This window comes from Homo sapiens, chromosome 15, assembly GCF_000001405.40.
Source record: "Homo sapiens chromosome 15, GRCh38.p14 Primary Assembly".
In the NCBI taxonomy this organism is placed as follows: domain Eukaryota; kingdom Metazoa; phylum Chordata; class Mammalia; order Primates; family Hominidae; genus Homo; species Homo sapiens.
In genome coordinates, this window is record NC_000015.10 from 27,885,378 (window position 1) to 27,899,153 (window position 13,776).

Consider the following 13,776-nt stretch of genomic DNA (forward strand, 5'->3'; position numbering starts at 1 on the left):
GAAGGCTTTCCAAACCCCCTTCACACCCAAAGGAGGAAATGAACACACAGGCATGAACAGGCCTGCATGGAGAATTCATCACTTAGGAACCAAGAAATCCCCAAAGCTTCCTAACACTGCTGAGAAATAACAAAGTTATCTTTTTCTCTTTCTTCTCAGCTTAAGAAATCTGATTAAATATCCTCACAAGAAGCCTTCTTAGGTGAATCCATGTGAGAACCACTCTCCTCACAGAACCTGTGAAAATTATGATGAATGACTATTACACCACTTGATATATGGTTTGATTTCTAAATATAAGTACACGTATTTCAAAAACGTGCAGTCCTCATGAGCCAGCATCCCATATTGCTTAGTCTCCATTCACTCCTTTATTTGTTTGATGTGCTTACTATGTGGCAGCACTGTCAGGACCACCCAGGATGCCACAGTGACCAAGATAGACACACATTTGCTGATCTCCTGGAGCTTATATTCTGGTGAAGGGAGACAGAGAAAAAGTTTATATATTCATATATTTGCCACAGATATATATTAGAGCATTATTACAATGTGTCATAGGTAATAATCTGTTGGAAGAAAAGGAACACAGGAAAGTAGTCAGCAATGATGGAAGAACTCCTTCCGCAGGGCCAGGGAAGGCTGCCCTGAGGATGGATATTTGAGGAGACTCTAGAGAGGTGAACCACCACCAGCATGCTTGGGAAGAGCATCCCACGTAGAGGTGACAAGTACAAATGCACATTCACCTAGCAAGAAGGCCACCGTGTCTGGGGTCCAGCCCCCTGAGGCAGGAAATTATATGTAAATGGCAGCTGCAGCCAGGTCATTTGTGGCTTTGTAAGTCATGGTTGAGGCTCTGGATTTTATTCCAAGTGAAAGAAGGACAACATGCTGCTATCAAAAGCACCAAAAGATCCAAGCAGCCCTTCAGGTCTAACTTTTCAACATCACAAGGAAAAAGAGGAAGCAGTGTCTCATTCAAGGTTCTCAAACCAAACGGCCGCTGAGAAGCCAATAAAGTTCCTTAATCTCTAGCAGAACCCTAAAATGCATGGCAACTCTTGTTTTATTCCTACTATTTATAATGGCAGGTTTAAATATGATTTAGTATATTTTTAAGCCAAAAATTAAGAGAATGCAACTATTATTTATAACTTCAAAACACTGAAAAACAAGATGCAAAGAAACTTTAACAATATACAACATCAGCACATGGGAAGAGGAAGTATCAAGGAAATACAATATAGCGAATATAAGGCATAACAGCAAATATTTTAAAGTTAGGTCCAATTATATGTTCTCTACTAGAAACAAATTAAAAACAAAATGACAGAGATTAAAAATAAACAAATGGGCAATTCCAAGGAACTTCCAGTCCAGACAAAATGATATAGACCCCAAACTCCCTGCTTACTCCTGCCAAGCACACCTATAAACCCTGGGAATAAAGCAAGAGGCAACTAAAGGAGAATTCGGAAAGGTGGTAAGAGGAGAGGAAACTGTTTGGGATCTGATATGGTTTGCCTCTGTGTCCCCACCCAAATCTCATCTGGTAGCTCCCATAATTCTCATGTGTTGTGGGAGGGACCTGGTGGGAGATAATTGAATCATGGGGGGCTGCTCTTTCCCAGCTGTTCTCATGACAGTGAATAAGTCTCACGAGACCTGATGGTTTTAAAACGGGAGTTTCCCTGCACAAGATCTCTCTCTCTGCCTGCCGCCATCCATGTAAGATGTGACTTGCTCTTCCTTGCCTTCTGCCATGATCGTGAGGCCTCCCCAGCCATGTTGACCTGTAAGTCCATTAAACCTCTTTCCTTTGTAAATTGCCCAGTCTGGGGTATGTCTTTATTAGCAGCATGAAAATGGACTAATACAGGAGCCCAGGAAAATGGGAACAGCACAGCTGCAGGGAGTATTTCATCCCTCAAAATCAGCATTTCCAGACCAACTCCCAATATAGCAAGAGAAGACAGCTAGGTGGGCTTGTTCCTCCCTTGGATGAAAATATATCAGGGGAACATGCCCCCCTGGCAAGTAAGATTAATAAAAGCCCTGCCAGCAAAGGTAACCATGGGGGGCACCCCATCCCCTACAAAGAGATACCAGTGACTGGACAGAACCTGAGGAGGGACCCCACTACACCTCACACCTGGGATCTCAGGCCAAGAGACACCCAGGTCAAGAGCCATGTGCTATGGTATTCTACTGGGAGACCTGTAAGTCCACTAAACCTCTTTTTTTTTTTTTTTTTGTAAATTGCCCAGTCTAGGGTATGTCTTTATCAGCAGCATGAAAATGGACTAATACAGGAGCCCGGGAAAATGGGAACAGCACAGCTGCAGGGTGCATTTTGTCCCTCAAAATCAGCATTTCCAGACCAACTCCCAACATAGCAAGAGAAGACAGCTAGGTGGGCTTGTTCCTCCCTTGGATGAAACAATACCAGGGGAACATGTCCCCCTGTCAAGTAAGATTAATAAAAGCTCTGCCAGCAAAGGTAACCATGGGGGGCACCCCATCCCCTACAAAGAGATATGTGGTGAGTGGACAGAACCTGAGGAGGGACCCCACTACACCTCACACCTGGGATCTCAGGCCAAGAGACACCCAGGTCAAGAGCCATGTGCTCATCAATAGCACATGGCTCATGAAATGTTCTGAGGCCCCCACAGGAAGGGGGATGCCATCTTAACAAACACTTAGCCATGGAAGCCTCTTCACTTCTGCAGACCTGAAACTCCTCTCCACAGGAAGAGACATCTGGGCAGCCCAGCCTGGGGATATCCCTTCCAGCCCCCAAGGCAGCACCCAGCAGCACTGGAGAAACCAAACAGATCAAAGTAGCACTGCAAGATCTCTGAAAATTAAATCTTCATTTGAACAACAGGCTATGTAAATAGTCTATAACCTGTGTGCTAAACTTAAACAGGTTGACTGCCTGCTGAAATAAAACAGTTATTTATGACTCAGAGTCTCCTAAAATAATAGACAAAATATCCAGGATACAATCAAAAGTCACCTGTCATATCAGAAACTGAGAAAATCACAACTTGAATGGGAAAGGACAAACACCTGATGCCAACACTGAGATATATCGGATGCTGGATTATCTTAAAAGGATTTTAAAGCAGCCTTCCTAAAAATGTCTCAACAATCAGTTAACAACTTCTCTTGGAACAAGTGAAAAATGAAAAACTATGGGAAGAAACAAAAGATATAGAAAAAAGAACCAAATGGAAATGATAGATCTAAAATATACAATAACAGAATTTCTTTTTTTTAATTTTATATCATCAATACAAATTTTACAGCATCTTCAATCTGAAAACATCCTAAGAGCAATCTCTTCCTTGAAGAAGGCCGTGTGTGTGTGTATACATATATATATTTACATGAACTATATGTATATGTGTGTGTATTTACATGAACTACCCTTCTTAGAGCTCCCAGAGTGGTTTTTCCGGGTCTGTTACAACCTTTATCACATTCTCTCTTGTATTGTAGTGATACAGAGCAAAAATGTAAACGAGACCTGGTGCCTTCCCTCATGTGAGGAAGCAGTTTGATATAGACATCTCAGGGTAAGATTAGGTTACTGTGGAAGCTCATAGTGGAGGAATTAATGTAGAATTGGAGACATCAAGGAAGGCTTCCTAGAAGGCGTCATGTCTGAGTATTAAACTACAGGTTAGACTGAGCCACACATGAAGAGAAGTTAGAGGACCCAGAATTCAGGTATTTTACTATTCAAATTGAGGCTTTCTAGTAACCAAAAGGTTGGGATACATTCTCAAAGCAGGAAACAGCATAAATTACAGCCTGCAAGACTTAGCTACCCTTGAGCGCTATATTTCATGGGCTTTTCACTACAACTGCTTTCATTTCAGATCCCTCAACTCATGCTCTCTCTCACCTTTGAGGTCTAGCACATGTAGTAGGATAATGTGGGAGCATTTTCTCTTACAGAAACAAGAACTGCAGCTCAGGTGGTGGTACACATGCTCAGTTCCTGCCACACCCCTTAAGATGAGTCATCCTGTCTGGACATGAAGAAAGGCCCCTGGGGCTCCACATGCCAAAAGGTATGTCTAAGGGTATGTCAGAGGCAGCCGGGCAGGTGCTGACATCTGGGGTACCTGGCCTGCCTGGAGCTGGCACCTCAGCCCTCCTTTCTCCTTCACACTTCTGAGTCACCGTGGGAAAGTGTATCAGCCAGTGCCCATCCGTCATGGGGCATTTGTTCAACATCAAAGCCTCACTGCCCTTCATTGACATAATTTGAGGCATTCCGAGGTTATCAGGGATTTGCTAGCCTGTCAGAGCCAGGGAATGGGCAGGCTGTCTGGGGAGGATGTGCCATCCAGGAGGGATGCCATTTTGATGTACCTGTTTGGTCACTGGCTCTAACTGGTCCATGGACAGGCTGGACAGCATCAAGGTGTGAAGAAAAGAGCTTGGGCTTTAGAGCCAACCCTGACTCATCACCTCCCAGAGTCAAAGCCTTGGAAAGATACCCAGATCTCTGGAGCTTCAGTTTCCTCCAAGGTAGAAGAGAGAAGATAGCACAGTTCTGAAGGCTGGAAGTCCAAGATCCAGGTACCAGCATTTGGGGTCTGATGAGTGCTACATCCTCACGCAGTGGAAGAGCAAGCCCAATAACAGAATTTCTTAAAGCTTCTTGATATGCACTCAATAGTAGAGATAATAAAGAAAAGAATCAGTGAATTTGAGGGCAAATCAATAGAATTCACCCAATCTAAACAGCAAGGAGAAAATATATTTTTTTAAAAGGGCAGAGGTGGAATGGAGCCTCAGGGAACTGTAGAACTATTTTTAAAATCTAATATTCATGTCACTGGAGTACTAGAAGGATAAAAGAATTAGAGCAAGGTTAGAAAAGTACAGTAAGGAATAAAGGCTGAAATTTTCCCAATTTGGCAAAAGACACAAACCTACAAATTCAAGAAGATGAACAAACCCTAGGAACAGGATAACACGATGAACCCAAAGAAATCCATATCAAAATAAATCATCAACTTTCAAAGACTAAAGACAAAGAAAAACCTTGAATGCAGCCAGAAAGTACTATGCGTTACCTACAGGAAAACACAAATTCAAATGGCAGCAAATTTCTTCTCTGACACCAGGAGAGAGGGAAGGAAATGGTACAACATTTTTCAAGTACTGAAGAAAAGCACTGTCAACCATACATTCTATATCCAGTGAAACTATCCTTGAGGAATAAAGAGGAAATAAATACACTCTCAGATAAAGAAAAAGAATTTTTTACTAGCAGACCTACCCTTAAAGATTGGCTAAAAGAAGTTCTTCAAAGATAAAGAAAATTACAAAAAATAAGACAGGCTGGGTGTGGTGGCCCACACCTGTAATCCCAGCACTTTGGGAGGCCGAGGCAGGTGGATCACGAGGTCAAGAGATCAAGACCATCCTGGCCAACATGGTGAAACCCTGTCTCTACTAAAAATACAAAAATTAGCTGAGCATGGTGGTGTGCACCTGTAGTCCCAGCTATTTGGAAGCTGAGGCAGGAAAATCACTTGAACCTGGGAGGCAGAGGTGGCAGTGAGCCAAGATTGCACCACTGCACTCCAGCCTGGAGACAGAGTGAGACTCCATCTCAAAAAAAAAAAAAGACAAATTTTGGAGCATCAGGAAGCAAAAGGAACTGAAAAAGCAGAAATGTGTACACACAATAGATTATTCCTTTCCCTATGAGTTGTATAGATCGATTTGATGATTTAAACAAAAGTTATGTTGCCATCTGATACTCAAGAAAAGATAAAGGAATCTTAATGGAAGTGGTATTGTCACACTTCACTCAAAGTGGTAATTCTAATAAGTCATGTATGTATACTGTAGTCCTCTGAGCAACCACTCCAAAACTATACAAAGAGAAACACTAAAAAATACTATAAATGAATCAAAATAGAACTGTAAAAAATGTTCAAGTAACACACAGAAAATCAAGACAAAAGAAACATGGGTATGTACTGGAAACAGAGGAAATAAAGAGAAAATAAATACAGTAATCCTTCAGTATCCATGGGGAATTGGTTCCAGGACCTCTGTGGATACCAAACTCCATAGATGTTCAGGTCCCTTATTTAAAGGGGCATAGTATTTGCATATAAACTAAGCACATTCTTCTGTATACTTTAAATGATCCCTAGATTACTTATAGTACCTAATACAATGCCTATGCATCTCATCACTTGCATGGATTCAACATAGTAGTCAGTGCACAGAAAATTCAAGTTTTGCTTTTTGGAAGTTTATGGGAATTTTTTTTACCTGTAGTTGGTTGAACCCATGGATGCAAAAGCTATGGATATGAAAGAGCAACTTTAATTGAAATGGCATATTTAAGCATTAACATATCAATAATTACCTTAAATGTAAATTTTCTAAACATATCAACCAAAACACAGAGACCGGAAGAAAGGATTGAAAAAATAACCCAACTATATGCTGGAAAAAGATATGTTACACACAAAAAAAATCTAAGCAAGAGACTATATTAATACCAGCTAAGTAGACTTCAAAATAAAGAAAATTACTAGAGGGACAGAAAATTATTAAATAATGATAAATAGGTCAATCCACCAGGAAGATACAACAATCCTAAATATGTATGCACCAAACAACAGAGCAGCAAAATACATGAAGTGAAAAACTGCTAGAGCTGAAAGAAAAAACAAATTCATGTTTATAATTGGGAACATAAATAACTCACCCTCAGAAACTAATAGAAATGCTACACAGAAAATAATTCAAAATATGGAAGAACTGAACAACACTGAACCAAAGGGATTTAATACACATATATAAAACACTTCACTCCAAAACAGGAGAATACAGTTTTTTTCAAGTTCCCATGAAAGATTTACCAAGATGTATCATATTCTGGGTCACAAAAAAAATTCCGCAAATGTAAAAAAATAAACTCATACAGAGTATGTTCTTCAACTATAATGGAATAAAGTTAGAAACTAACAGAAAGACAATAGAAAAATCTCTAAATGCATGGAAATTAACCAACATACTTCTAAATAGTCTATGGGTCAATGAAGAGGTCTCAAAGTAAATTTTAAAATATATAGAACTGAATTTTAATGAAAATGCAACACATAGAAACATATAGGGTGCAACCGAAATATAACTGTGACAAAACTTTATAACACTAAATGTTAACATTGGAAAAGAAAGGAAATCTCATATCAACAATCTAAGTTCCTACCTCAAAAACACTTGCCAAAAAAGAGTAAAATGCATCAAAAGAAAGCTTAAGGAAAGAAACAATAAAGATCACAGAAGAAATCTATTGAGTTAATATAGGACAATACTAATGAAAATCAAAGGAGAAAAGGCTGTTTCTTTGGGTAAAATCAGTTAAATTGACAAACTTCTAAAAAGACTGACCAAAAATTAAAGGAGAGAGACACAAATCACCAATATCAGGAATGAAATAGGAAATTTTACTACATATATTTCAGACATTAAAATGATAATAAAGGAATATTATCAACAACTTTACGCTCACAAATTTGGCAACTAAAAAGAAACAAACCAATTCCTCAAAAAACACAAAGTATGAAAACACAGATAAAATCTATAATCTGAATAGCCCTTTAGCCATGAAAGACGTTGAATTATTAATTTGAAAGTTTCCTTTTAAAAAAAGATTCCAGACTCCTGGTTTTATTGCAGGAAGTCAGGGACCCCAAATGGAGGGACCGGCTGGAGCCGTGGCAGAGGAACATAAATTGTGAAGATTTCATATTAATATGGACATTTATCAGTTCCTGAATAATACTTTTATAATTTCTTATGCCTGTCTTTACTTTAATCTCTTAATCCTGTTATCTTCATAAGCTGAGGATGTACGTCACCTCAGGACCACTGTGATAATTGTGTTAACTGTACAAATTGATTGTAAAACACGTGTGTTTGAACAATATGAAATCAGGGCACCCTGAAAAAGTACAGAATAACAGCGATTTTTATGGAACAAGGGAAGACAACCTTAAGGTCTGACTGCCTGTGGGGTCAGGCAAAAAGAGCCATATTTTTCTTCTTGCAGAGAGCCAATAAATGGACGTGCAAGTAGGAAATATATCACTAAATTCTTTTCCTAGCAAGGAATATTAATATTAATACCCTGGGAAAGGAATGCATTCCTGGGGGGAGGTCTATAAACGGCCACTCTGGGAATGTCTGTATTATGCAGTTGAGATAAGGACTGAGATATGCCCTGGTCTCTTGCAGAACCCTCGGACTTACTAGGGTGGGGAAAAACTCCACCCTGGTAAATTTGTAGTCAGACCAGTTCTCTGCTCTCGAACCCTGTTTTCTGTTGTTTAAGATGTTTATCAAGACAATACGTGCACCGCTGAACATAGACCCTTATCAGTGGTTCTGCTTTTGCCCTTTGCTTTATGATCTTTGTTGGACCCTTATCAGTGGTTCTGCTTTTGCCCTTTGTTCTGTTCCCTCAGAAGCATGTGATCTTTGTTAGACCCTTATTAGTGGTTCTGCTTTTTGCTCTTTGATGCATGTGATCTTTGTACTTACTCTCTGTTCTTACACCCCCTCCCCTTTTGAAACCCTTAATAAAAGCTTGCTGGTCTGAGACTCAGGCAGGCATCACAGTCCTACCAATATGTGATGTCACCCCCAGCAGCCCACCTGTAAAATTCCTCTCTTTGTACTGTCTCTATTTCTCAGCTGGCTGACACTTATGGATAATAGAAAGAACCTACGTTGAAATATTGGGGGCAGGTTCCCCAATACTGTTTCACTAGAAAATTCTACCAGGCCTTTGTCTCCCACTCCCACCAGAGCTTGGGATTTATCTCTACTGTTCCATGTCCACCACCTCTGGAGCCCCCAGTGACTTTGTCACAGCCTCTGTTGCCCTGTGATCTGCAGGTACTGGGAGACGCATAGCTAAGATGCCAGGACATCCTGAAAGCTGGGAAATGAAACTGTTTACATTCAGGAATGTGGCCATAGAATTCTCTCTGGACGAGTGGAAATACTGGAACCTGCTTAGCAGAATTCGTATAGAGATGTGCTTTAAAAGAAGGACAGAAACCTGATCTCTGGGTCTTGATGTCTCTAAGCTAAACCTGGTGACCTTTTCGAAGGAAAGAAAAGAGTGAGGAGACAGTAGCCATACAGCCAGGTGTGATTGTATATATCTGCTAAGCATCTTAGTGATTTGACTCTCCTGCTTCAGCCCAGCCCACAGATGAGATTGTGACATATTGACTCTGCACCTTGAAGATGTGACTCTCTTTTCCAGCCTTGGTGCTGCCCACAGGTGGCATTGTGACATATGGCTGGGCCTTTCATCCAAATGATGTGTGATTGTGACGTACACCTCTGTCTGGAACCTGAATGACTTGACTTTTCTGCCTGGTCCCAACCCAAAAGTCATGTGACTCTTCTTCAGCCTGCACCCTACCACAAAAGGATTGTGATGCATCACTGCACTCAGCACCTAGATGATGTAACTCTCACCTTTTGCCTGGACCTTGCATATTTAAGGTTGGATTGTGACATATACTTTAGCCCAGCTCAGAGTTGTGATGATGACACTCATACCACAAACCAGCCAACAGAAGAGATGCTGGCATTTGTAGCTAGACTTAGAGAAAGGAATAAATTCCTGGGTCTTCTGTAGGCAATGTAACTCTCCTTCCTGGGTCCTGCCTATAGGAAGCATAAGGACCTGTCTGTGTATCCATCACCCAGCTGTTGTGACTCTCCTTTTTTGACTGAAACCTGCCACAAAGGGTGATTGTGACATATCACTGGGCCCAGAACCTAGTCTCTGGTGTGTCTTTATTAGCAGTGTGAGAACAGACTAATACAGTAAATTGGTACCAGCAGAATGGGGCATTGCTGAAAAGATAGCCGAAAATGTGGAAGCAACTTTGGAACCGGGTGACAGGCAGAGGTTGGAACAGTTTGGAGGGCTCAGAATACAGAAGAATGTGGGGAAGTGTGGGACTTCCTACAGACTTGTTGAATGGCTTTGACCAAAATGCTGATAGCGATATGGACAATAAAGTCCAGGCTGAGGTGGTCCCAGACGGACCTGAGGAACTTGCTGGGAACTGGAGCAAAGGTGACTCTTCTTATGTTTTAGCAAAGAGACTGGTGGCATTTTGCCCCTTCCCTAGAGATTTGTGGAACTTTGAACTTGAGAGAGATGACTTAGGGTATCTGGAGGAAGAAATTTCTAAGCAGGGCAGGTCTCTGTTGATCCATGGATGGGGATCTCTGTTCCGCAGGATGGGGTTTGTAAAGTTGTTAAGAATAAAGCCTACTTTAAGAGATATCAAGCGAAATTTAGAAGACGGCAAGAGGGTGAAACTGAGTATTATGCTTGGAAATGCTTGGTGATACAGGACAAAAATAAATACAACACACCCAAATACAGGATGATAGTTTGTGTAACACACAGAGATATTATTTATCAGGTTGCTTATGCCCGTACAGAAGGGGATATGATAGTACGCACAGCATATGCATGTGAACTACGAAAATATGGTTTGAAGGTTGGCCTGACCAATTACGCTGCGGTGTATTGTACTGGCCTGCAGGCTTCTCAATAGGTTTGGCATGGAAAAGATCTATGAAGGCCAAGTGGAGGTGACTGGCAAGGAATACAATGTGGAAAGCATTGATGGTCAGCCAAGTGCCTTTACCTGCTATATGGATGCAGGCCTTGCCAGAACTACCAGTGGCAATGAAGTTTTTGGTGCCCTGAAGAGAGCTGTAGATAGAGGCTTGTCTATCCCTCACAGTACCAAATGATTCCCTGGTTATGGTTCTGAAAGCAAGGAATTTAATGCAGAAGTACACCGGAAGCACATCATGGGCCAGAATGTTGCAGATTACATGTGCTACTTAATGGAGGAAGATGAAGATGCTTACCAGAAACAGTTCGTTCAATACAGGAAGAACAGTGTAACTCCAGACATGATGGAGGAGATGTAAAAGAAAGCTCATGCTGCTATATGAGAGAATCCCATCTAGGAGAAGAAGCCCAAGAAAAAAGTTAAAAAGAAGTGGAACTGTCCCAAAATGTCCCTTGCTCAAAAGAAAGATTGAGTAGCTCAAAAGAATGCAAGCTTCCTCAGAGCTCAGAAGTGGGCTTCTGAGAGCTAAACCAAACAATTTTCCATGAGGATTTTTCAGATGAAGATCATAAACTTATTGACAGCAAAAAAAAAAAAAAAAAATGAACTTTATAAGCAGCAAAGCATTCAAGAGGTGACTTGGGTTCTGTTAAAGGTATTCAGCTTTAAAAAGAAAACAGAGCATAAAAGTTTGGAAAATTTGCAGCCTGACAATGCAATAGAATAGAAAATCTCATTTTTTGAGGAGAAATTTAAGCCAGCTGCAGAAATTTGCATAAGTAATGAGAAGCCGAATGTTAATTCCCAAGACAATGGGGAAAATGTCTCCAGGGCATGTCAGAAATCTTCTTGGCAGGCCAGGCGCAGTGGCTCACGCCTATAATCCCAGCACTCTGGGGGGCCGAGGTGGGCGGATTACGAGGTCAGGAGATCCAGATCATCCTGGCTAACACAGTGAAACCCTGTCTCTACTAAAAATACAAAAAATTAGCCGGGTGTGGTGGTGGGTGCCTGTAGTCCTAGCTACTCGGGAGGCTGAGACAGGAGAATGCAGTGAACCTGGGAGGGGGAGCTTGCAGTGAGACGAGACGGTGCCACTACACCCTAGCCTGGGCGACAGAGCAAGACTCCGTCTCAAAAAAAAAAAAAAAGAAATCTTCTTGGCAGCCCATCCCATCACAGGCCCAGAGGCCTAAAAGAAAAATATAGTTTCCTGGGTCGGGCCCAGTGCCTCCCTGCCCTGTGTAGCCCAGGGACTTGGTGCCCTGCATTCCAGCCAGTCCAGTCATGGTTATATAGTTTCCTGGGTCGGGCCCAGCACCTCCCTGCTCTGTGCAGCCCAGGGACTTGGTGCCCTGCATTCCAACCAGTCCAGCCATGGCTAAAAGGAGCCAAGGCAGAGCTCGGGCTGTTGCTTCAGACAGTGGAAGCCCCAAGCCTTGGCAGCTTTCACGTGCTGTTGAGCCTGCAGGTGCATGGAAGTCAAGAATTGAGGTTTGGAACCCTCCACCTAGATTTCAAAGAATGTATGGGAACACCTGGATGTCCAGGAGAAGTTTGCTGCAGGGGCGGGGCCTTCATGAAGAACCTCTGCTAGGACAGTGCAGCAGAAAAATGTGGGGTCAGAGGTGCCACACTGAGGAGTCCCTACTGGGGCACCACCTAGTGGAGCTGTGAGAAGCTCCCAGATCCCAGAATGGTAGATCCACTGACAGCTTGCACCGTGCGCCTGGAAAATCCGCAGACACTCAACACTCAACCAGCCCGTGAAGGCAGCGGGGACGGAGGCTGTACCCTGCAGAGCCACAGGGACCGAGCTGCCCAAGACCATGGGAACCCACCTCTTGCATCAGCATGACCCGGATGTGGGACATGGTGTCAAAGGAGGTCATTTTGGAGCTTTAAGAAATCCTGCTGGATTTTGGACTTGCATGGGGCCTGTAGCCCCTTGGTTTTGGCCCATTTCTCCCATTTGGAATGGCTGTATTTACCAAATGCTTGTACCCCCATTATATCTAGGAAGTAACTAACTTGCTTTTGATTTTGCAGGCTCATAGGCGGAAGGGACTTGCCTTGTCTCAGATGAGACATTGGACTGTGTACTTTCGAGTTAATGCTGAAATTAGTTAAGACTTTGGGGAACTGTTGAAGGCATGATTGGTTTTGCAATGTAAAGACATTAGATTTGGGAGGGGCCAGGGTGAAATGATATGGTTTGGCTGTGTCCCCACCCAAATCTCATCTTGAATTGTAACTCCCACAATTCCCACAAGTCATGGGAGGAACACAGTGGGAGGTGATTAAATTATGGGGATGGGACTCTCCTGCACTGTTCTCGTGATAGTGAATGAATTTCAGAATATCTGATGGTTGTAAAAACAGGAGTTTTCCTGCACAAGCTCTCTCTTTGCCTGCTGCTATCCATGTAAAATGTGACTTGCTTCTCCTCGTCTTTTGCCATGATTGTGAGGCCTCCCCAGACACAAAGAACTGTAAGTCCATTAAATCTCTTTCTTCCCTGTCTCAGGTATGTCTTTATCAGCAGCGTGAGAACAGACTAATAAAGCCAGTAACTGAATAAAAGGTTGAATTATGGATCATATGGTAGGTAAAATAAATAAAAGTGTGCAAAAAATACTTGGGCTTTATTTGGGCCCCATTCTTTACATTGTTGTGACTTCCAGTGTTTTCACCTGAAGGGATATTTATGAACAGAAGGGTTGTTATTATTATTTGTATTTTTTACCTTGCTAAAAATACATATTAATCTCTTAATAAAATTATCCTAGCAAATCTTAAACAACAAAATAAAAATTCTACTGAACATGTAAAGAACTAGCATCAATTCTATATAATCTTTTCCAGAAGATAAAACAGGAAGGAACACTTTCCAACTCATTTTGTGAAGCCAAAATCAGACAAAGCTAGCATAAAGGAAACTATAGATCAATATATCTCATAAAGTTAAAAATCCCCAACAAAATGTTAGCAAACTGAATCCATGAATACGTGAAAATAATTATACACCATGACCACAGGGGATTTATTTCAGGTATGCATGGTTGGCTCAATATTTGAAAATTAATCAATGTAATCTAAC

General features: G+C 41.7%; 1 protein-coding gene and 1 pseudogene across 28 annotated transcripts in view, besides 1 other annotated feature; one reads left to right on the plus strand and one right to left on the minus strand.

Annotated features, from left to right (window-relative positions):
• The window catches only part of OCA2 (OCA2 melanosomal transmembrane protein), a 380,308-nt gene that overhangs the window by 166,370 nt on the left and 200,162 nt on the right, over positions 1-13,776 (minus strand). The gene's annotated exons all lie outside the window — the stretch shown is intronic.
• RPL5P32 (ribosomal protein L5 pseudogene 32) lies at positions 10,283-11,263 on the plus strand (annotated as a pseudogene).
• Positions 11,944-12,444: an enhancer, noted in NCBI's record as "H3K4me1 hESC enhancer chr15:28142467-28142967 (GRCh37/hg19 assembly coordinates)". NCBI's record gives its function as "activates a minimal SCP1, AML or CMV promoter by ChIP-STARR-seq in naive H9 embryonic stem cells {active_cell/tissue: H9 hESC(naive)}" and the evidence as "EXISTENCE:reporter gene assay evidence [ECO:0000049][PMID:30033119]".